The 25,987-nt window shown below is 38.3% G+C and overlaps 1 protein-coding gene across 4 annotated transcripts in view, besides 1 other annotated feature; it reads left to right on the forward strand.

Moving 5' to 3' along the window:
• DCC (DCC netrin 1 receptor) overlaps positions 1-25,987 on the forward strand; it is a 1,195,703-nt gene that overhangs the window by 275,537 nt on the left and 894,179 nt on the right. The gene's annotated exons all lie outside the window — the stretch shown is intronic.
• Positions 20,189-21,388: an enhancer, noted in NCBI's record as "MED14-independent group 3 enhancer chr18:50162292-50163491 (GRCh37/hg19 assembly coordinates)". NCBI's record gives its function as "activates an origin of replication core promoter dependent on BRD2, BRD4, P300/CBP and CDK7 cofactors, and independent of MED14, by STARR-seq in HCT116 cells {active_cell/tissue: HCT116}" and the evidence as "EXISTENCE:reporter gene assay evidence [ECO:0000049][PMID:35650434]".

The following is a 25,987-nucleotide window of genomic DNA, read 5'->3' on the forward strand; positions in this document are numbered from 1 at the left end:
CTGATGATGAATAAGACCCCTCCTAGGAGCCTGTAAAGATTACTGAAAGGGCAAAAGTGGTCAGAGCTGCAAGTGGGAGTAGGGTAGGGAGAAGCTTAGAAAAAGATGTAATATACTGGGTTTTTCTTAGTTTACAGAAATTTATGCTTATCAATGTGTATACATTTATATGCAGATATATAAACATATATGCTTATAATACAGAATAAAATGCATAAAGGTGAGATTTTATATATATATGAATGAATGAATAATTTCAAATTTATAAAACATTTGCAAAGGTAGAACAGAGGGTTTCTGTATACCCCTCACTGAATTCCCATATTACTAGCACCTTACATTGTCATATGTCTGTCAGAATCAAGAAACTGAAATTGACACTGGTATATTAGTAATAACTAAACTCTCAGCATTATTTGGATTTCACTAGTTGTTCCTCTTTCTGTTTCAGAATTCGAACTAGGATAACACTTGGCATTTAGTTGTCATGGTGTTCAGTCTCTGCTGGTCTGTGACAGTTTCTTTTGGTTAATTTTTTTTTTCTGACTTTGAGGAATATTGGCTAAGTATGAGATCTCCGTTTTGGTTAGACGGGACTATCATATTTTAATACCTGAAAGTGAATCATAGTTGTTTATATAAATAAGATTGTTCTTACAATTCAAAGTGACTAGAAATTCATCTATGCCAGAGATGTCTTCAAGGAGAGATTGAGGGAAATATGGTAGAGTATGTTAGCAGGCAATGTTTGAAGAAAAATAGAGTATTTTTCTTTCTGTAACCTCACTGCGCTTGGCCCATTTGACAAGCCAATTACATTTGCATTTGAGAGGGGAAAAAAGACTGATAACTATTCCAAGTATCAATGAACAAGTATTTAGTGTCTATTAAAACTATATACTAAGAGGCATTCAGAAACAGCTCATCCCTGAAGGAGTTTATAATCTAGTAGAGGATATAAAACATGTTCCCATGCAATTCAAAATACAAACAGATAAATGCTAAAGCAATTGAGAAAAAGGTGTTATTTGCCCTAGAATCATGAAAATAGTTTGAGAAGTTAACAATAGTGAAAAAGGACTCTAGACAGAAGTTGGAGGTGTGGGAGGGAAGTAGAATGTGATTCTAAACATGGGAGCAACAGAATACTGGGCTTATTTTTGGAGGTAAGGACAATACTGCAGAATGAGATGCATAAAGGTAATTTGCAAGAGAGGAGACAAGAAAGGTAAATTGAGCAGAGGTTGAATTAAGGGCTGTAAATAATACGCTGGGCTAATTACTTTTTCAATTTGCAAAAACTGGCCTTAACAGAATTAGACTAGGTGAATATCATGGTCAAAGTATTATCCGACGAAGGTGTACTGTCTGGCAGAGGGATGTGGTAAGGCTTGGTGAAACAGATTAGAGGCTGGAGAGAAGACATTAAGAGGGACCTACACAATGTATACATGTATGGAAGTATCACACTGTACCCCATAAATATGTGTGATTATTAAGTGTCTATTAAAAACAAAATAAAACTTAAAAGGCAGGGGGATGGGCAAAGAGATAGAGAATAGTGGAGTTGAGGGCACTCACTCTTGAGAGTCCTTATTTATTGAGGAGATGACATTATCTATAGAAAGAGGGAATGGGGAATATTGAATGCTTAATGTTAATGGCTGTGAGGAATGGGATAGGGGCTTCGTCATCCAGAACTTCAATGCACACACTACTGAATCGCATTGAGAATCCATTTGAGATGAGGACACAGGACATTTTAAGAGATCTAAGCAATGCAGTTCTTTGCCTCTCACTCTTTTTCAAGTTTTTGATTCCCAAGGTGAACCTTGGTTCACATTCCCCTATGACCATATCTTGGAGACAACTTTTTATATGTTTCTCTTCTCCTAACCCAGATTTGGAAGGGAAGAAGTGGATCATTTGTTTTTATTGTCTTATCTTTGCTTTCTTACCGTTCTCTTACTTTTTTTTAAATATCACTACTGAAAAATATGAGTAAAATGTTTTTTAGAACATTTTAGAAAAGAAAAAAATACAAAAGTAATGCTATAGTTTATCAGTGAAGCATGAAGAGAAGCTTATTTTGCTTACTATTTGAGGCAGTTCTGGCCATAGGATTTAATGGACTTCATTTTGAAAAGCTGCCTGCCAGATCAAGTAACTTCTCATTCATTTGAGCCATGTCTATATAGCCTAAGGCCTGGCTCAAAGGTATGACAGAAACCTAATATGAGAAATATAATTTTATTACAGTGAATCCATGCAGGGTATTGGACAAGGAATTATACAGAAATCATTTCAATTGCTATGTTAAATTAGAAGGTTGTACAAATATTTTACATTAGAGACCCCTTAGTCATTAAAGCCACAAGCTTGCTATTACTATATATTTGTGAGCAAATATCATCACAGACCTGACTCACATTAGAAGGGAAATTCTCATCACCTCTGTCATCCTTTAGAATGGAAAAAAAAACTTATTCATAAACTCATAAAAATCCCAACAGAAGAAAGTTTAAAAACCATGGAATATGACCTCCTGGCAAATCAACAAATTTGTTTTTAAAAAAAACAAATCATGGTGACTGCCTTAATAATTATGCAGAATAAACTATTTGTTTCTATATAATCCCCTCCATGGTTGAAGACTGTCATCTTTAGCAGCCTCTTTATCGTATTTAACCAAAAAATGTCTCTCTCTAACTTCGACCCATTGGTCCCTAGCTGTCTCTGGGATCTGTACAGATAAATGTAATAACTATCCCTAAAACTACTCATCAAATATTATAAAAGTGCTTTTATTCACTTACTGGGTCATTTTTGCAAACCAAACACCATTTCCTCCAACATTACTCAAATGACATGGCTTTGTTTTTCTCACTGTCCTGGTCATCTTGTGTGAAACAATGTTTAATCTCTTAGGTTTCATACAGGAATTTAATGCTCAAAAATGACACAATTCTTCAGCTGTATTCTAATATATTTTGTACTATAGGCTGTATTTTATCAATACCACCTATTGCTTTACCTTCTTTTCAGAAGCGCCCCCAGACTTTTAATTCAGACAGAGCTTTGGGTCAACAAATTTCTTAGATAGCTTCTATATCAACTGCTGTCAAGACAAGATTCTCTTGATTATACTTGTCCTATTGATTTTTTTAACTCTAAGTTTTTAGACTTATCTCTGCTACATTTCATCTTTTTATTTTTTTAATTGACACAGAGTTTGCATTTGTCGCCCAGGCTGGAGTGCAATGGCACAATCCCGGCTCACTGCAACCTCCGCCTCCCAGGCTCAAGCAATTCTTGTGCCTCAGCCTCCTGAGTAGCTGGGATTACGGGCATGCACCGCTATGCCCAGCTATTTTTTGCATTTTTAGTAGAGACAAGGTTTCACCATGTTGGCCAGGCTGGTCTCAAACTCCTGACCTCAAGTGATCCACCTGCCTCTGCTACCTTTCAACTTCTTGCCATTGTTTTAATCTACTAAGAGATACTCCTGGCCATTCTATTTTGTATAAATATGTTTGAAAATTTTGTTTAGGAAAGATATCTAGCTAGTATCCCTGCTAGATATATTAGATATACATCCCAGACTGTTTTTCCCCACCCACTGATTTGATCATATTCCTTTTGAAAACATTAAACTTGAACATGGCCAATGTCAGAGCTCTGTGCCACTCCAGTAGGCAACTGCTTCTGGATTGGTTTTTTGGTTTGTTGTTGTTTGTCTCTTATTTTTGCCCAGTGGTAACATTTAGAGTTCATGGTGTTTGAAACATTTTCCCTTGAGTATGGGTGATCCCAATAACCAATGTTCTTTGGATGCAGTTGTTCAAGTTATAAATCCAACTAATTGTACTTATATTTTACCAATATTAGGCTATAAAATCAGACATTGTCAAAGACCTTTCAAGATTCAAGATTTATGTCCTTATTATGTGTAAAATGAATGAGCCATCATTTTCTGTCATATTCAGAGTTTCCTAATCTAATATTCTATAAAATTTTAACCTTACCTAGAATAAAGAATCCACGTCAAGAAAGCAAGAAATGGCACATGGATAAATTTTCCCTACGCAAAATCCAGCCCCAGTCACCCTCTCTCTGATAAATTGAGTCCATTGGAAAAGGCAACCACCTCTCAGTGATAAGCACCAGTCATAAATTAATATCTAGGACTTGATTATTAAAATTACTACGTACTGTGCTGGAAGGAAAGATTCTAGAAACTTGATGGCTTAGATTAAATTGTCACTACCCACTAGACTTGAAGAAGCCATTGGAAAGGCCATTGAGGCCCCCTCGTAATTTATATAAAGGAACTGACAACCTCATTGGTTTTCAGATTTGCCAGTTAATTAAATGGCTCAGGCATGTCATTTTGGAAAAGCTTTGGATTTGGAGACTGAATTTACTTCTAGTTCTTATCTAACTTAGTTTTATGACTTTGGACAAAATTTTTCACCTCTCAAACAATTTCTCTCCTTATCTGTGAAGGGAGGAGGTTGGACAGTTATGAACAAAGCTTGTAGCTCCAACTTTCTATTAATTGCAGGAGGCAGGAAGGGAGCTACACTAACTGGAGAGATTCACTAGTTGAAATTCTTGGTTTTGCTGCAGACCATAGCCTACAATTAGGGCTTTGAGACTCTGGCTCCATAACTACCAAAGGATGATGTCTCGAACAGGTTTAAATTAACCCATCTTCAAGGAGTTCAGTAATAGACTCTGAACCGAATAAATCTCTTCCTAAGCCCATTTAAAGTTGTATATAGAAGAGAACTGGCACAATTATTTGGTGACGGTCATTTTCTTCTCAAAATTTTTGTTCTTGAAGTGATTTGGTTTTTACTCTAAGTTTAATTGTAGCTTTTTTCTTCATTGTAACATTTTAAATTACTTTTTAGTTATAGCAAATGTAAATTGGAGTCATATTCAGTTGTTCCTGGACCCTCTTTGCAGTTTTCCCTCTGTCTTAAGTAGACGATGTCGGAGGAAAAAAATAGGTAACCATAATATGTGGCCTTATTATGTACAAAATGAATAAGCCATCATTTCCAGTACTATCATAAGGAGCTACGTGAGAAACATTATAGTCAAGGAGTATACACAAGCATGGAATTTACACTGGCCTCTGTGTATATGCTGAACGCTAGTTACTGATTTTAAATTTCAAGGTAACATTTTCTAACAAGGGAGACTTTCCCCAGAGGTATTGCTTCTGTCTCCCAACTCTTCATATTTGAGTGCTGGTCAGGAGAAGCCTGGGTGAGGGGATGGAGAAATAGCCACTCTGGATGAAGGCTGCAGAGCCAACCTTCAGGACTGTTGTGTCTGTGAGTGAAATTTATAGGGCATGGCTGCTAGCCGCCAAATCCATTGTCTCACAGTGTCAACATTAACTACCACTGCTTTTTATGTTTAACTTGGTTAATATGTTTAGACGCTGCTGGGGTCCAAATGCTGAAAATTCAGCAAACTGAATTAATCGATTTTTCTCTGACAGGAATGTTCTGTAGAAATAGATATTGCCACACCATACTGTGAGCTGCTTAACACACACAGCTGAAATAACTGCACTGGTGATGAACTTGAATTTGAAACAGGGATTAGAACTCTGTGTCTGAAGGTTGGGAAAGGAGGTAGGCTATGGCAAAGTTTGGGTCTCAGGAGGGCTCATTAGATGAAGATTAAGTGAAGAAGTCTTGCCTTTCTCCACTGCCTTATTCCACTTACTCATTGCACCTCATTCCTTTCTACCCGGAGCTTACAACCTCACTCTGATGTGCTTTCTGTGCTTCAGGGTTTGGCCACTGGCAGAGCAGATGAACAACTAGCAAAGGGACTGTACTTTTGCAAAAAGGAAATTATACTGCCCAACTCATCAGCTTAAAGGGAGAAAGGACACTCACTGTAGCACACAAGCTTAGTAAACATGTTGGGTCTCTAGGTCCTCCTTGGCAATTGATTCCCATCTGGACACAACTCAAAGTGTGAACTCGAATGTTTACAAGTCTCTTTGCTTTTGGCCAAGGTTGTCTTGGAACTGATACTTATGATACCCGAGGCTTCCTCACAACTTCCTTTTGAAGAGGTACTGATGCTTCATTTTATGTTACTTGCTTTGCCATGAAGGGGAAAAGCAGCTCATCCAGAATAGTACACAACTCCAGACTTGCTAATTTTTGACTTAGAGTGAAATATACCTCATTTAGTATAAATTTACTTTCCAAGTTCTGTTTTTATTTACTAATAATAAGAATTTATTTGCATTCCGTGAACACACTCACAGAGAAAAGAGAGCGATTAAAAGAGGATCATCGAACATAAAAGAAAGAGGTCAAAAACTAGGCCCACATGAATTTTAAAATTTGTCCTCAAGTATAAATAATCTATAGTCAGGAATTCACATTAATAATTTAATTTCTGCCACCATTCTGAGTTTTTCTTCATTTTTTCCTACTAGGGACCAAAAGTTCTCTATAAGAATGTCCAAGGTTCTGGAAATGGAGTTATCCTATTTGAACACAAATACTCAACAGCTAAGAGGCATAGAAGTTTCTCTAGAAGAGTACATTGTTCTACAATCAGAATGGGTATTGGGGTCATGTGGAAGGCCTATTAAATCACAGATTTCTGGCCCATACCCCAAATATTTTAGTTCGGTAGTCCGGACTGGGTCCCAAGAATTTACTTTGTCAGCAAGATCCCACGTGATACTCATGCTGCTGCTCCAGGTTCCAACTATGAGGACAACTATTCTATTAAAAGACTTATCGACATCGTTGGCACCAGCCCAGGGGTTCATTCAGGACCTTCTCTTTCTTTCCATCACTGCCCCTATTCTAAACACTTCCTTCACCCCAAATATTTCGGTTCATTAGGCCTGGGTGGGTCCCAAGAATTTACTCTGTCAGCAAGATCCCAGGTTATGCTCACGCCACTTATCCAGGTTTCAACTATGAAGACAACTATTCTATTAATAGATGTATCCACATGGCTGGCACCAGCCTGGTGGTTCGTTCAGAACCTTCCCTTTCTTTCCCTCACTGCCCCTTATTCTAATTTCTTCCTTCACTGCCACACTTTTGATTTTAGGTGACCAAAAAAAATGATCATAGAAGGAATTTTTGTTCATGATTACTCTCACTTTCGTGCATCTAGCAACCTTAGTGACAGCTCCATGTTTTAAATTCACAAAGGACATGTAAAGAAGTTCAAACTAAAACATAGGGGCTTATTTTATCTAAGATGCCTCAAACACTTGTTTCCACTTTTCTTATCCTCTAACCAGGGATCTGCAAACTGTAGCCCACAGGCCAGCTGTTTGTTTATGTAAATAAAGTTTTATTGGCACACAGTCACATTCATGCATTACTTGTTGCCTCTGGCTGCAGCGGCAGAGTTGAGTAGTTGCAACCAAAAAAGAAAATAAAAACTTTGAAGGGTATATTGGAGTTGGACATGAGGAAGAAATACTACAGGACAGTTAAATATTTTCCTCACATGTCATCTTAAGTAGTAAGGGAAGAAACTCCGGACTAAGAAGGAATAATCAGCAGAACTTATCTTTCCCTTTAAAATGGCACCATTCTTTCATCACAATAAAACGAGCATTAGGAACTGAATCAGGAAAACAGATGCATTCTCTTCAAAGATGTGCAGCTGGAAGAGGCAGGAGCTTGGCATTTGCATTATCAGGAGATCTTTCTTCCTTTTTTGTTTCTAAAGTGTGGGGGGAGAGAGAGGCATGGATTATAATTGTCTATTTATTGCTTTCTTTGTTTTGTTCTTCCAACAAGGAGCAGACAACCATGTTTTCTTACGTGGTTTAATCTCATTACACAGTTTCTCTCTGACTAAAGCCTTAAGCGAACAGTTCATAACGGGATTACATAGATTGGTTTATTTTCCACAATTTTCTAAACAAGGTTATTCAAGGATAATACCTTGTGTAGCATTTTCCCCCTTATGTTCTATTTTCTTTTTCTATCTCTGCATCTCCCCCTTTCAACTTTTGCCTCACCTTCCTTTCCTTTTCCTCTAACCTTCATTTTAAGATACCTTCTATAAGAAAAGGCAAATCTCTGTCCCTCCCTTTCCCTCAGGATTGCTTTAAAGCTTATCATAATGTCAGCAAGGATTTGGGCATTAATCAGCAATGCACATGTGTGTATTGAATACACAGGGAAAGAGGTTTATGACAAGAAAGCCAAACAAGGTTTCTTTTGAATCCGCTTCTTTCCCTAGAAATTGTAGGTTACAAAAGAGCATTGGTTTCATCTCCCCAACCCATGCAATGGATTCAACTTCAAGGGCACATAACAATTTTTTCTGTAATGAAAGGAACTTAACATATATCCAGACAGTAAATCACACAGATAAGATCCCTCAATAAAGCATTTTTTCAAAGTCACTCCATTAACCAAGTGCATCCTCATAAATTGAAACAAAATTAAATTAATTACAGGCTTGCATCCTATAATTAAAATTTCATATATAAATTAATTCAAATATAAATATCCAAATATCAATTAATCCTTCTCGTCTGCTTTTGCACCCACCTTCAAAGAGATTGTGAGTAAAATAGTACCTTTTTGTTACATAGTTTTACTCAGAATGGAAAGACTCATTACCTTCTAAGCTTCAACAGTTTTAAGATAAAGGCTGTGGAAATTTAGTTATGGGAAAATGTCTTAGTATCAGCTGGGAGTTTATTTTTCGCACTTAAACTTCTGTGGGGTTTGTTCTCCAGAGTCCTTTTTTCTGTTGGAACAAGCTTGTGAGTAGTTTTCAAGAATCACAAGCTAGTGATTTCAGTGGTATTACAATCACATTTGTTGGTTTAGTGATCAAAATATATGTTTACTAATCAGTTGCCTGAGTATCACAGAATATTAGAGCTAGAAGTAATATTGGTATTATTAATGGTATTGTAGGACAGGACCTTGGAAAACTGACTCAATTAATCAAACATATATCTGTTGCACTTCTGCTATGCAATGATGACTGTGCTGAGAGGCACAGGGGCATAGGCAGGCTTTTCCATCTCATTAAGGAGGCAAGACACTCGTGGTTTAAAAGCGCAACTAGGCAGACAAAGAGATTCACGTGCAGTTGCATTTGGCTTACGCAGATCGTAAGCCATTCATAGAGTTGCCTATGAATGGGGATACATTATGAGAAATGTGGCATTAGGTGATTTGGTTGTTGTGTAAACATCATAGAGTGTCCTTTCACAAACCTGGATGGTACAGCCTACTACACACCTAGGCTGTATGGTGTAGCCTATTGTTCCTAGGCTACAAACCTGTACAGCTTGTTACTGTACTGAATACTGTAGGCAATTGTAACAGTGGTTTTTGCGTATCTAAACATATCTAAACATAGAAAAGGTACTGTAAAAATACATGATAATAATCTTATGCAGACTCCATCATTTATGCAGTCTGTCATTGACGAAAATGTCATTATGTAGCATATAACTACATTATGTAAATTTAGAGAAGAGAGAAATGTGAGATAGGGAATCTTTTTGAATGGTGTAAAACTTAAGAGATTCTCTAAATTGTTAGGCTGTGGGAAAGAAGCATAATGTAACCGCCGTATTGATTCATTCATTTATTCATTTATTCACTCAACAACTATGAATTATCCTGTCCTTGTATTCTTTGTTTTCCTTCTGTTACAAGGAGACATGTGCTTTGCTACTATTGGGGTCAATCTTTCATTTGGGAACTATAGTCCTAGACCATCTTCATTGACTTTACTCCTGTAGTTCTCACTCCCTCTTTCCTACTTCATTAATGTTTCTCTCTCTACTTCATCATTACATTAACATGCTTTGGTGTTGTCCACCAAAGAACAGACAAGCAGGCAAACAACCTCTCGGCTCTACCTGCCACCACAGACATCTCCTTAATACCTGCTCCTATTCACAGCAAAGCATCTTGAAAGAGCTGAGCTGTGTTCACAGTCTCTATTTCTTCATTTCCCATTCACTCTGAGCCCCTCTGATCAGATTTTCACCTCCATCACTTCATCGCCAATGACTTCTGCATGCTAAATGCCAATGTCAGTTCTCAGGTCCTGCCTCATGTCCAAACATGTTTTAATGCAGGGGATTACATTCTTGTGGGAAATCTTTCTTTGGTGCTTCCCTCCTGTCTCTCAACTCATCAGCGGCTCCTGTTCTATTTTCTTTGCTGGTTCTTTTCCTTACACCTAACTCACTCTTCAATGTTTGCTGTAAACAGAGCTGGCTCTGGGTCCTCTTCTTTTCTCAATGTACATACTCTCTCTAAATGATATTCATGACATTACATGTCATTTAGAAGCTCTAATGACAACCAGCATGTTTCTCTCCAGTCCTGCCCTCATCCCACATGTTTGAAGTTATCCAACTACCTACTTGATATCTCTGCATGGATGCCTAGTAAACATCTCAAGCTCTATCCAGAGCACAATTCTTTATTTCTCCTCACAATTTTTTCTTCCTCCAGGTGCCATATAGATGGAAAACCATAAAAAACTTTTGCTTCCTCCTTGACTTGTGTCTTCCACACATTCAATTCACAAGCATATCCTCCCAGCCCTACTTCCAAAATAGATCTCCAGTCTAACTTTCTCTATTTTATGCCTAGCCTGACCCAAGCTCTTAATTGTTCTCCTGGAATATTATAATAGCCTTGCCAATTAGTCTCTCTGCTTTTTTTTTTCTGCCCTACTGTAGTCATTCCTAATATACAAAAACCAGAGTGATCTTTCTAAAACCTCAATTAGGTTGTCCCTTTCTTAAAACTTTTCAGTCTCTCTCCACTGCACATGATAGCTAAAGTCCTAGCCAAAGTCTCCAAGTCCCTATAGGATCTGGCACTCACCTTGTACCTTCCCAGAAAAATACAGTTAGCCCTCCGTATCATGGGTTTCACATCCGTAGATTTAACCAACAGTAAATTTGAAACAAAAAAATTCCAAAAAACAAATCTGAATTTCTCACATGCTGCGTACTATGTTGAGTCTGTGTGAATGAAGTAATGTGTAGGTCTTGTATTAGGTATTATATAATCTAGAGAGGATTTAAAGTATATGGGAGAAAGTATGTAGTTAGATGCATATATGATACTATTTTTTGTAAGGACAAAAAATGTGAGCATCTGTGGATTTTGGAATCCATGGAGGGTTCCTTGGTATCATGGAATCTCCAGGGATACTAAGGGACAGTTGTACTAGCCATTTATTTCTCAGTCCATCCCTCTCACACTACCCTCTTCTCTGTTCCTCTGACATATCAGGCTGTTCTTTATTTCAGGGTTATGATCTTGTTGGGACCTCTTTTCATATGCCTCCCTATAAGTAAGTTCCTATTTTACATCTTACTTCTGCAGAGAGATGTCCTCAAGTAGAGCCCCAGTTATTCTTTATTGCACAACCCTATACATCCTTCATAGCACTTTTCCTCCTTTGCAGTTACTTCATATTTTTATTTGACTATTGATCATCTCCTCCCTTCAGAATTAAGGTCTACAAAGGTAAAGACTTGGTCTGTTTTGGTCACTGCTGTATTCTGAGCCCCTATAACAGTGCCTGGGTGAGTTGGGTGGTCAGTTAATACTAGGGATGAGTAAGGTTCCTGTGCACTGTTAGGGATGTGGAGATTCACAAGACATCAACACTGCCTTCAAGTTGCAGACAATCACAAAGGGCTAAACCATTCTCCTTAGGCCTTGTTTCTTAAATGCAAAATGAGAATAGTGTGATTTTATGATGCGTTGTATATAAAGAGAGGAAGCAACTAAAATTATTTTGTTTTATAAGATTAGGTTGTTCAGTTGAGCTTCCCCATGTTATCTCTGCAGAGAACAACTTCTTTCTGTAGAGAAAACAAAACAAACAAACAACAGCAACAACAAAACATTCCACTTGTTGCTTCTTGAAGGACAGGGAGGTAAAGCAAATGAGACAACTCTCGCTTTGGAGTGAACAGAGGTGGTCTTCACAGGCAAGTGTGGTCTTCAAACAGATTTCTACTTTTCTTGCTTGTGAGCCAGAGTTTGGAAGTGTACCTGGTCATTTGCTTGGTGTTACCATTCCACATAATGCTCTTTCTCTCTCTCTCTAGTTTCATTTTGACTGGAGAGTGTCTGCAATGTCACTTCCTGCTTTTCCCCACATTTTGGTGGCCTTCCTGGTGTCCTGTATGTTCATGATTCTTTCTAGCCCTCTCTTTTTCTTTCAGAAAACTCTGAGGTTCTGTAAAATTTGATGACTCTGCCTTGTAAAGTATTTGATGTGCTTTTATGACTTTCTGGGAAAAAGTATTTTCCTTTACCCTTTCCAATTCTCATTCTCTATTTCCACATTTGAGATGGCATCAACTGTGAAAATGGTTCACATCTTCCCTTTTGCTGTGAATTTTTCCTAAATTAGAGCATTTCATGACCTTGAAAGACTTTTTTTTCATCAAAGAGCAGAATCTTCAAAACTGTTTGCCTTTTTCTCATAGAAAATTTATCATACTTGGAAACATTCTGTTATGATTAAATTTTCAAACATAATTATGACCATTGTCAAGAAAAGATTCTGCAAACCACTCACATCCAAGAGACTTAGCATCCAATGTGTCTTTCACTGTATGCAAAGTGTTATTTTAAACATGTCATTGCTTTCCTGGGTATATTCTGATATATAGTATTTGTTTTTCAATAAACTTGGCAGCTGGCTGCAAATATGTGCCTGTTACAAACTTGCCTTCATCTGTGTGTACAGCCATTCATCCAGTCATTTAATTCCACAGATTTCTGTTAATAACTCTGGGCTTGTAGGTCAATTATAGGCAGTGAATGTGGCTTTCTTCCAAGTTATAACCACTCCCTACCCACACCCCTACCTCCAATTCATAAATGGAAGCTCCAGAGCCCTGGGAGAACAGAGGCCTGCAAGGAAAGGAAGTGTCCTGGCAGTTTTGCAGGTAGCAGCATGAGTAGGGAGGCAACCCTAGTGTATAATGGACTCCTGCTGGTGTTATTCTTTGGAAGAGCTGGCCTGAGCTAGAACTTCTGTCTCAGATTCAGAGTCACTTCACCACATCACGTCCCTGAAGCTGCAAGTGTTATTAACATTAACCTAAGTTGGGCATCTGTGCAAACTTGTTGCCAGGTGCTTGTTGTGTACCAATGATGACACACCGGCAATCTTTGACCACCCAAATGCTGGGAAAGGATTTGTTACACTCTCTGAAGCCATTTTCTTAGCGGTGCATGGCTGAAATAGTAGATTTAAATTGGTGCAGCCGTGAGGATATTACTATGAGACAGAGGAGATCTAGGGGAATGTCTACTCACTTTCAAAATTATTCTGTCTTTTCAAGAACTGGAAGAAATTTGAATTAATCAGGCTTTTCAAGAATCTCACGGAAGAGCAATAAATAATCTACCATTTGCCCATCCGTATGTTAGGTTCAGTGTTTTTATTTTCTTCTGGCTCTTTTCTTATAATGATGAACTTTATATCTGTTGCATAATTCTTTATTACAAAAGACAAAAACTTCTACCCACCCACCTCCACCTCTTTTGGTTTGGCCAAACAAGTTTCTGACACTGCTGCTGGTATTTTTTCATTTTTTAAGCTGAGAAAACAATGACTAGATCCCTATGGAAATGTGGGCATTACTAAGTCTTAGTTAGTTAGAACCTTACTCAGATACTGGAGGGTGGATTAGGGGGAGCAACTAGCAAGTGTTGTGAGAGGAGACCACATGTAAAATATTTCTAATTTAACAAGTAAGAGAGGGCCGAGCATGGTGGCTCATGCTTATAAGCCTAGAACTTTGGGAGGCTGAAGCGGGTAGATCACCTGAGGTCAGGAGTTTGAGACCAGCCTGCCCAATATGGTGAAACCCTGTCTCTAATAAAAATACAAAAATTAGTCCGGGCGCGGTGGCTCACGCCTGTAATCCCAGCACTTTGGGAGGCCGAGGCGGGCAGATCACGAGGTCAGGCGATCGAGACCATCCTGACTAACACAGTGAAACCCCGTCTCTACTAAAAACACAAAAAATTAGCTGGGCGTGCTGGCGGGTACCTGTAGTCCCAGCTGCTCGGGAGGCTGAGGCAGGAGAATGGCGTGAAACCGGGAGGCGGAGCTTGCAGTGAGCGGAGATGGCGCCACTGCACTCCAGCCTGGGCGACAGAGCAAGACTCCGTCTCAAAAAAAAAAAAAAAAAAAAAAAAAAATTAGCCAGACATGGTGGCAGGCACCTATAATCCCAGCTACTCAGGAGGTTGAGGCAGGAGAACCCAGGAAGTAGAGGTTGAGCTGAGATCATGCCACTGCACTCCAGCCTGGGCAACAGAGCAAGACTCCATCTAAAAGAAAAAAAGTAAGAAAGGATACTTTAATAAAACCTTTGCAAGAATAAAAACAACATTCCTATCCAAATATACCTTTAGAAATCTGTTAGAAATGTGTCAGTCGTGATTGAAAGAAGATATATAGTGAGTGTTTGGGAACTCCAGGGGTTCATCCTATAAAATGCTTACACAGTGAGACAGAGAAGGGCTATGAATTCTGGGGATCGAATTCCTTACAGCCTGAATGATCTAAATGTGAGGTATTATGAAGAAAAAGCTCAGTCTTTTTAATTAGATTCTGAGCTATGCTATCTTAAGCATCTGACTTCATTTTACTGAGTGTCTGTTTCCTTATTCGTAAGTAGGAATAACAATAGTATTGATAGGAATTTTAGTTAAGATAATGCTTATAAATTTAAGAAGCATAGTGCCTGGCACATAGTAAGATACATGGTAAATGCCAGAAATCCAAGAAATGAAGTCCCATGCAAAGCTGCTTAGCCCAAACAAAGGTGATGTTTACTAGCTTCTGGACAGACCTTTATGACGGTGAGATTTTTTTTTTTTTACAAATCTTGCAGAACACTTGCACTTTCACCTGCTTAGTTAATTCTTATCATATCTCTAGAAAGAAGCAATGAGAAGCTAAGACTTGGATCAGAAGATGATGATATTGCAAGAGGTTACACTTAAACATTACTCCTTTGATTCATGTGGGCCTACTACCTTGTACACAGCAAGTCATCCACACATGACTTTAAAAAGCTGTTGTTTATGTAGTGTTCCAGGTGCCCTTTGAGAGGAATCCTCTTACCAATATTCTAGAAATACACACCTCGAGTACTATGCCCTTAGTATGCCATGGCTAGCTGTCCATTTTCAATCAATCCCAGTGCTGCACCCTGGGGAATAGACTCTCACAGCAAAACTTTTCTCCTGGCACCTCTAGCATCTTAGGTCATCAGCCATCAGCACCTATTCGGAGGCCTACTTTTCTACACAAGTTTTGGCCGGAGGGGAGCAAGTGAGCATTATACTTTTTCTAATAAAATCCTTTAAAAATAAATCCATTCATGTTTGGGACACTTTTTTCTACCTGTCATTTATGGTTGCTAATGTGTAGTTGTTATTTAATTGCATGTTTATGTTAAACATTCCCCATGCCAACATGATAGCCGCAGGCTTGACTAATAAAAAGAGAGAGAAAGAAAAAAAAATAAAAAACAGAAAAAGCTTAGAGGAAAGATGCATGAGTAAATGGAAATAAAATGGGATATTTCAATAGGAGGTCTCCAAAATTGATAGTTTCTAGGAAAACGCATCACCTTGCACTGCCAGTGGTTCTTTCTTAGCTTCCAACTAATTTATACTCTAGTAAGGTACTGTCCTTTTCTTCACCCAGCCTTGCTAATTTAAAGAATCTTAACTGGGGGGAAAATGCTAATCTTATTTTGGGCCTACCCATTTTCCCAATCTCAGTTTGATGTCTTCCTCGGAATCGGAAGGCTTCCCTGGAGCTTGGTGTGCTGGGCTTGTCTGTGCTGTGGCTTTCAGTCTCAGGCCAGGTTTTACAAATTTTGTCGCATTGGTCTGGAAAAGAGGTAGGGTGGTTGACTTGTTTTTTAACTCAATGCAAATTAATTTATGCTTTGAAATTTGCTGATCTTCTCACCTCAATTGGGAAAATGTCTGACTATATTGATTGGCCAAATGAAGGACTCAAGGACTCAAGGAGGTCGAGTTCATTTTAGAGGCTTCTTAAATTGTCCTAAATTATCCCACTTTGGAAAGCGCAGTCTTGTGACAGTGGCATTAAGGTAAAGAAAAACAGCCTCTGCTCCAGCTCTGATTAGGCCCTGTCTCCTTCCAGAGTCTTTCTCTCCAATCCAAAGCCTTCGCATGTACAATTTCCCCTGGAAAAATCTCCTTCACAACCTCTTCCAAGTGACTCCCATTCATCTTTCTGATGTCAACTTCAGCATCATTCCTTCAGAGAACTTCCCCAAATTCCTAGTTTCTGCTAGCAATTATCAATCCTTGTTCTAGAGCTCTGTTCCTTTGAGAATAAATTACTCAATTGGTAAGTAAATATTCATAAATATTATGAATGAATGAGTTAGGAATGAAGTATAATAATGAATAATTCATTCCTATTTCTTCAACTACAGCGTAAGTTCCAAGGAAATAGGGACTATGTCAATTTTTGCTCATTGTTCTATCCTCAGTTGTTAACACAATACTTGGCACATAGTAAGCAATTAAAAAATCTGTTGAATAAATGATCCCAATGTTCAACATGTACATAGCCCACTGGATAATTTAGTGAAATTTGACTTGCATGCGTAATAAAGCACCAGAGAGAATCTGGTCCCCACTGGGATACCAGCAAAATTTCTGTTTTGCCATTTGGGAAACACCTTGACATCCAACAATTCAAAGTCAAAATTCCTGTTCCACGCAGGTAGCTGAGTAAATTTAAGGTCAACTAAAACTGGACTCACTAGTCATTTCATTCTTGGTTGCTCTTTTCTCCTGTTATCCTTCTTAATGGATATATCCTGCCTTCTCATGACTTCAAATTTCTGCATTCTGATCATGAGCATTCCTGTGGTTTCACGCTCCTATTTGTTCTTCTGCTAATGATCCTTATAACTGTTTTCTGCTTATTTTTATAGATTGCTTGATCTTCTTTACTAGGTTGTTTATATTTCTAAAAGCATCTGATTGATTGCACTTCTCCTTGCATCCCTGCTAAACTTAATGCTTTCTATTGCCCTTTTCATTTCTAAAGTTTAACTGAGATGAATTTCAATTTCACTTTCAGGAACGGTTTGCAAACTGTGGAGTTTTCTTTATTTCTGACCAGGCTGTTCCCCAGGGATAATTTTAATTTTTCAAATAATTAGAAATTAGTAACCTTTCTGTCAGTAAAAATAAATAAATAAATCAATGAAAAGCATTCTGGACATAAAGACCTAAAATTTCATGTCATCCTCAGTTTGTTCATTCTTTCTCTTTCTTCCTTTCCTTTCCTGTCCTGTCCTGTCCTGTCCTGTCCTGTCCTGTCCTGTCCTTCAATTGAAGGTCTGTCTATCTAAACACATTTTGAGAGCTTATCTTATTTGGGGCTCATCAGCAGGATCCATTCATTCTGTTTATCCTCAAAATCTAGATGATTTTCTCTTCTGGTCCTTTGCAGGAATAACCAGCAACAATTGGCAAGAGGGCTGGTTGTGGCAGTAGGAGGTACGCTGGCACTGAAGATGCCCAAGTTCTTCTTTTTATTTCTTTCTGGAGGAAAGCCAGTGCCATTGTTGGCAGATCCTGGGCTGAAAATAAGGAGTTGTCACCTTACCTCTGCCCTAATTAGTTGTGTAGCCTCAGTCAAATCAATTCCCCTTTATGCACTTTAATTCTGCCCATCTATACAATGATGGAGGCTAAATTAAATTAATTCAAAGACCCCACAATGCCAAAGATTCCAAGAAAATTGATGAACTTTTGATTTTTAAAAAATCAAATGAACCTCAATTTGCAACAATATTCAGTGGTTTCACTGTCAAATTGTAGTTTCTAAAGAAGAAGTCTAGGTTTAGCCCAACCTAGAGTTTGGCTGTTTTCCCACATGACTCCTGAGAATGGAATAGCCTCTGACTCTCCTCCAAACACTGTAACAGAGACAGGAGTGCCAGATATGTTAGAAGGTATAAGCATAAAACAATAAGTCAATGACACTGAAAACATATAAGGCACTAGGTAACACCAAACTGAGAACAGGAGAGAGATAAGAGAGTGCTGTAACGCTAGCACAGCCCCTGATTCTCAGGAGGAATTGTCTGTGAAAGGACAGACTGAGCTATGGAGGGACACACAGCAACCCTGCTCATGGCAGGTGGATGGCGTAGCACTCCTTTGCCAGACATGACATTCAGGGAGATGCAATAGGAGTATATGGAGGATATCTTTGTTGGGAGGAGTCACTCTCTTCAGCATTAAACATCTCATTAAGTGACTTCCTCAATTTCAGTGATGTCCAGAAGCTTTCAGAGATAATCTGAGCAGTCAGTGAACTGATGTGTCTGCCAAGGCATGAATAGCATAGATTGTTCAGTGTTTGCCCTGGGTCTATCAGCAGTAATAAATTTTAATCGGTTAGGCACTTTTTAAGCATGCTACTGTTTGCCAAACATTATTTTTGGCAGGCATCTGTAACAAAACCTAATGCATTATGCATATTATTTCTATGGTATTTCATTGTATTAGCACATGTAGTATTTGTATGGAATTTTTGTAAATTCATTACCAAAGTAGTATCACATTAATTATTCTGGTTTAAAAAGTATTAGGAAAAAAATAATCCTGGGGAGCATACATCATATCATGGGGAAGTGGGAATGATCTATTGTCATTTAAATTGTGGAAAAATATTAGCATGTATACGAGAAAAATAACTTATAAAAGTACACAGCAAGTGTGGAAAAAGTGAATTATTAAATACATTGGTGTTTCCTTAAATACTGAATGCCTAATTTCAGAATTCTAATGACAATCATTATTACAGATTTTACTGATTGGTTTTATTTAACAGTATAACTTAGTGGTAGAGACCCATAAGACTTATTTCATTTCTCTGTGTCGTATTTCTTTGGTATCTTGATCTGCTAAATCATACTTTCTCACTCTTTTTCCCCCTTCTGTTTCTGTCCATCTCTGAGGTGCAGAGGTCCTGGGCCTTTGAACTTTGTATAACTCTTTCTTCTTAAATCCCTAGTATAGGGAAACTATACCATAGTAAAATTATCTATCTTGGCTGGAAACTACTCCAATAATTCAGTTCTCCACTGAAGTGTAAGATTTAGCTCTATTAAGTGTCTCTTAGTATCACTCTTCTATTCTTATAAGATAGGGTCATGAAAATTAGTAGTAAATTATTTTCTCTACCCTACTGGAGATTATATTATTTCCAGTGGTTTCTAGAACCTTGATTTGTCTTGTTCTTCCAAATTTGACAAATAATGTCTAGGGCACTCTTCCCTTTAGAAACTATTTTACAACACAGTAGTTTATCATTGTCAGGAAATGTTATAGCTATTCTTCTTTTCACAGGTTTTGATTCAGATAACACCTCTCTCCAAGAAACTCAAAAATCTCTGCAAATATTGCTTTCCATAGCTTCACAACAGTCCTTTGATGCAGGGCAATTCTTTCTCACTGCTACTAAAAAAATGAACAACCTTTGCCCTACGCAACACTGTGCTAGGCAACAAGTGACTGAAATAAATGCTCAATTTACCTTTTAGAAATATAAACCCAAAGGCATCATATTTGAATAGTCAGGAAAATAAAATACACCTACTGTATTACATAGTATTAAAAAACTGATTATATATTATTTGAATTACATGAAATTATATTATTTAAATTAGAAGGAAAAACGTATTTTTTTAAAGCAGAGACTTAATACATTTATCAGGATAATGACAATTTATAAGGCTAATGGCTATTACACTTATAAATTCAGTTATCCATATTCCATAGAACATAAGAATCGAGTCTTTATTTCATTCCATTCAGAGCTGCACAGCTAGTGCAAACTTTTCTTCAATATTTCTACATAAATCCTCCTTCCTGACTCACGTTCCATTCTGACTATGAAAAATCAATAAGACCTTGACCTTGTTGCTTTCATGTTTCATGCACTAATTCATAACTAGAATTAAACTCCCCCCAAAAAAGTCAATCACCGTGAACGGGAGCCAGGACTAGAATGCACCTCTAGACAGAGCAGCCGGCAGCGGCTCGCATTGTGAATTTTAGCTCCAGATTGACTACAAGAGCAAACTAACAATCCCAAGAGGACACACAGACCCTCTGACGGAAGTGGACTGCTCCTGCAGGACCTGGGAGACACCGCAAATACTGTGAGCGCCCCAACTGCGGAAGCGGGAAAAGGAGACCCTCCTCTCCTGAACACACCCCCCTAACTGGAGAAGCTGAAGTTCTGTTTGCCTGAGAAATTTCTGACTTTACCTGGAGCTGAGTCAATTAGGAGAGCCAAGGGAAATACAGAGGTAGAGGAAGCAGCAGCAAGGCCCTGGGAGCCCGCTGGGTTCTGGAGCAGGCCATTCCTGCTTGGCACCACAGGGATCCAACGAGAGAGGACCAGGGGCTAAAACTACACGGGGAGAAGCAAATCTCTAGATGAACTTTGTAAAAATTTGAACGGGGTGAGAAGCCTCCTGGACAGAACTTGGGGGAGGGCACGAATTGGGGATACAGACTCCACAGGCAGGGGAAAACCAAGCCCTTTACTTTAGCAGCTGGGAGGCGGATAGCCTGGGGCAGGTTTTCAAGCCCATATTGCTCTCTGCCTGGGAAAGGTCTGGGGGCTGTTGGGGCAGACACAGTGGAAGTGAGACCAGCCCTTTGGTTTGCGTCCAGAGCTGGGTGAGGCCTATGACTGCCAGCTTTCCCCCACTTCCCTGACAACCTGCATGACTCAGCAAAAGCAGCTGCATAATCCTCCTAGGTATACAACTCCAGTATACAACTCCCATCTCCCACAGCAGCAAGACCCACCCCAGAGAGTCTGAACTCAGACACGCCTAGACTCACCCCCACCTGATGATCCTTCCCTATCCACCCTGATAGCGGAAGACAAAGGGCATATAATCTTGGGAGTTCTAGGGCCCCGCCCAACCACTGGTCCCTCTCCATGCTACTTACAGCTGATTCTTTCTGGAAAGCGCCACCTCCTGGCAGGAGGCCAACCAACACAAAAATAGAGCATTAAACCACCAAAGCTAAGAACTCTCACTGAGTCCTGCACCCCCGCCACCTCCACCGGAACAGGCACTGGTTCCATGGCTGAGAGACCCATAGACGGTTCACATCACAGGACTCTGTGCAGACAACCCCCAGTACCAGCCTGGAGCCAGGTAGATTTGTTGGGTGGCTAGACCCAGAAGAGAGAGAGCAATCACTACATTTTGGCTCACAGGAAGCCACATCCATAGGAAAAGGGGGAAAGTAATACATCAAAGGAACACCCCATGGGACAAAAGAATCTGAACAACAGACTTCAGCCCTAGACCTTCCCTCTGACAGAGCATACCCAAATCAAAAGGAACCAGAAACCCAACCCTGGTAATATGACAAAACAAGGCTCTTCTACACCACCAAAAAATCACACTAGTTCACCAGCAATGGATCCAAACCAAGAAGAAATTCCTGATTGACAGAGAATTCAAGAGGTTAGTTATTAAGCTAATCAGGGAGGGACTAGAGAAAGACAAAGCCAAATGCAAGGAAATCCAAAATATGATACCAGAAGTGAAGGGAGAAATATTCAAGGAAATAGATAGCCTAAAGAAAAAAAAATAAAGAATTTAGGAAACTTTGGAGGCGCTTTTGGAAATGTGAAATGCTCTGGAAAGTCTCAGCAATAGAATTGTACAAGTAGAACAAAGAAATTCAGAGCTCAAAGACACGATCTTCGAATTAGCCCAATCCAACAAAGGCAAAGAAAAAAGAGTAAGAAAATATGAACAAAGCCTCCAAGACGTCTGGGATTACGTGAAACAACCCAAACTAAGAATAATCTGTGTTCCTGAGGAAGAAGAGAATTCTAAAAGCTTGGAAAACATATTTGGGGGAATAATAGAGGAAAACTTCCCCAGCCTTGCTAGAAACCTAGACATTTAAATACAAGAAGCACAAAGAACACCCGAGAAATTCATAGCAAAAAGATCTTTGCCTAGGCACATTGTCATTGGGTTATCCAAAGTTAAGATGAAGGAAAGAATCTTAAGAGCTGTGAGACAGAAGCACCAGGTAACCTATAAAGGAAAACCTATCATATTAACAGCAGATTTCTCAGCAGAAACCCTACAAGCTGGAAGGGATTGGGGCCCTATCTTCAGCCTCCTCAAACAAAACAATTATCAGGCAAACATTTTGTATACAATGAAACTAAGCATCATATATGAAGGAAAGATACAGTCTTTTTCAGACAAACAAATGCTGGGAGAATTTGCCATTACCAAGCCACCACTACAAGAACTGCTAAAAGGAGCTCTAAATCTTGAAACAAATCCTGGAAACACATCCAAACAGAACCTCTTTAAAGCATAAATCACACAGGACCTATAAAACAAAAATACCAGTTAAAAAGCAAAAACAAAAAACAAAAAAAAACAAAGCACACAGGCAACAAAGAGCATGATGAATGCAATGGTACCTCACATTTCAATAGTAACATTGAATGTAAATGGCTTAAATGCTCCACTTAAAAGATACAGAACCACAGAATGGATAAGAACTCACAAACTAACCATTTGCTGCCTTCAGGAAACTCACCTAGCACATAAGGACTCACATAAACTTAAAGGGATGGAAAAGGCATTTTGTGCAAATGAACACCAAAAGCGAGCTATTTTTATATCAGACAAAACAAACTTTAAAGCAACAGCAGTTAAAAGAGACAACGAGGGACATTATATAATGGTAAAAGGCCTTGTCCAACAGGAAAATTTCACAATTCTAAACATATATGCACCTAACACACTGGAGCTCCCACATTTATAAAACAATTACTAATTGTTTTAGTAATGAGATAGACAGAAATGAGATAGAAATGAGATAGACAGCAACACAGTAATAGTCAGGGACTTCAATACTCCACCAACTGCACTAGACAGGTCATCAAGACAAAAAGTGAACAAAGAAACAATGGATTTAAACTATACCTTGGAACAAATGAACTTAACAGATGTATACAGAACATTCATCCAAGAACCACAGAATACACGTTCTATTTAACAATGCATGGAACTTTCTCCAAGATAGACCATATGACAGGCCATTCTCTCTCAGACCACAGTGGAATAAAACTGAAAATCAACTCCAAAAGGAACCTTCAAAACCATGCATATACATGGAAATTAAATAATCTGCTCCTGAATGAGCATTGGGTCAAAAACAAAATCAAGATGGAAATTTAAAAATTCTTTGAACTGAATGACAGTAATGACACAACCTACCAAAATCTCTGTGATACAGCAAAGGCGATGCTAAGAGGAAATTCCATAGCCCTAAATACCTACATCAGAAAGACTGAAAGAGCACAAACAGACAATCTAAGGTCACACCTCAAGGAGCTAGAAGAACAAGAACAAATCCAACCCAAATCAAGCAGAAGAGAGGAAATAACCAAGATCAGAGCAGATTTAAATGAAATTGAAACAAACAAACAAACAAAAAATAAATGAAACAAAAAGCTGGTTCCTTGAAAAGTAAGTAAAACTGATAGACCGTTGGCAAGACTAACCAAGAAAAAAAGAGACAAAATCCAAATAACCTCACTGAGAAATAAAACAGGAGATATTACAACTGACAGCACTGAAATACAAGAGATCATTCAAGGCTACTATGAACACCTTTATGCACATAAACTAGAAAACCTAAAAGAGATGGATAAATTCCTGGAAAAATATAACCCTCCTAGCTTAAACCAGGAAGAATTAGATACCCTGAACAGAGCAATAACAAGCAGTGAGACTGAACAGACCAATAACAACAGCAAGACTGAACAGATCAATAACGAGCAGCAAGACTGAAATTATAATTTAAAAATTACCATGAAAAAAAAGTTCAGGACCAGATGGATTCACACCAGAATCCTACGAGACGTTCAAAGAAGAATTGGTACCTATTCTTGTGACACTATTCCACAAGATAGAGAAAGAAGAAACCCTCCCTAATTCATTCTATGAAGCCAGCATCACCCTAATACCAAAACCAGGAAAGGGCGTAACCAAAAAAGAAAACTACAGACTGATATCCTTGATGCACATAGATGCTAAAATCCTTGACAAAATACTTGCTAACTGAATCCAACAACATATCAAGAAGATATTCCACCATGATAAAGTGGGTTTCATACCAGGGATGCAGGGATGGTTTAACATACACAAGTCCATGTGATACACCTCATAAACAGAATTAAAAACAAAAATCACATGATCATTTCAATAGATGCAGAAAAAGCATTTGACAAAATCCAGCATTGCCTTATGATTAAACTCTCAGCAAAATTGGCATACAAGGGACATATCTTAATGTAATAAAAGCCATCAATGACAAACTCCCAGCCAACATAATACTGAATTGGGAAAAGTTGAAAGCATTCCCTCTGAGAACTGGAACAAGACAAGGATACCCACTCTCATGACCCCTCTTCAACATAGTATTGGAATTCCTAGCCAGAACAATCAGACAAGAGAAAGAAATGAAGGGCATCCAAATTGGTAAAGAGGAAGTTGAACTGTCACTGTTTGCTGATGATACGATTGTTTAAATTGAAAACCCTAAGACCTCCTCCAGAAAGCTCTTAGAACTGATAAAAGAATTCAGCAAAGTTTCCAGATGTAAGATTAATGTACACAAATTAGTAGCTCTTCTATATACCAACAGCAACCAAGTGGAGAATCAAATCAAGAACTCAACCCTTTTTACAATAGCTGCAAAAAAAAGAAAAAAAAAACTTAGGAATATACCTAACCAAGGAGTTGAAAGACCTCTACAAGGAAAACTACAAAATACTGCTGAAATAAATCATAGATCACACAAACAAATGGAAACACATCAAATGTTCATGGATGGGTAGAATCAATATTATGAAAAATGACCATACTGCCAAAAGGAATCTACAAATTCAATATAATCCCCATCAAAATACCACCATCATTCTTCATAGAATTAGAAAAAACAATTCTAAAATTCATATGGAACCAAAAAAGAGCCCACATAGCCAAAGCAACACTAAACAAAAAGAACAAAACTGGAGACATCACACTACCTGATTTCAAACTATACAATAAGGCCATAGTCACCAAAACAGCATGGTACTGGCATAAAAATAGGCACATAGACCAATGGAACAGAATAGAAAAGCCAGAAATTGAACCAAATACTTACAGCCAACTGATCTTTGACAAAGCAAACAAAAACATGAAGTGGGGAAGGGACGCCCTTTTCAACAAATGGTGCTGGGATAATTGGCTAGCCACATGTAGGAGAATAAAACTGGATCCTCATCTCTCACCTTACATAAAAATCAACTCAAGATGGATTAAGAACTTAAACCTAAGACCTGAAACTAAAAATTCTATAAGACAACATTGGAAAACCCCTTCTAGACATTAGCTTAGGCAAGGATTTCATAACCAAGAACCCAAAAGCAATTCAATAAAAACAAAGATAAATAGCTGGGACCTAATTAAACTAAAGAGTTTTTGCACGGCAAAAGGAACAATCAGCAGAGTAAACAGACAATCCACAGAGTGGGAGAAAATCTTCACTATCTATACATCTGACAAAGGACTAACATCCAGAATCTACAATGAACTCAAACAAATCTGTAAGAAAAAAACAAACAATCTCATCAAAAAGTGGGTTAAAGACATGAATAGATAATTCTCAAAAGAAGATATATAAATGGCTAACAAACATATGAAAAAAAGGCTCACTGTCACTAATGATCAGGGAAATGCAAATCAAAACCACAATGCAATACCACCTTATTCCTGCAAGAATGGCCATAATCAAAAAATAAAAAAAACAGTAGA

This window comes from Homo sapiens, chromosome 18 (genome assembly GCF_000001405.40).
Source record: "Homo sapiens chromosome 18, GRCh38.p14 Primary Assembly".
NCBI lineage: Eukaryota > Metazoa > Chordata > Mammalia > Primates > Hominidae > Homo > Homo sapiens.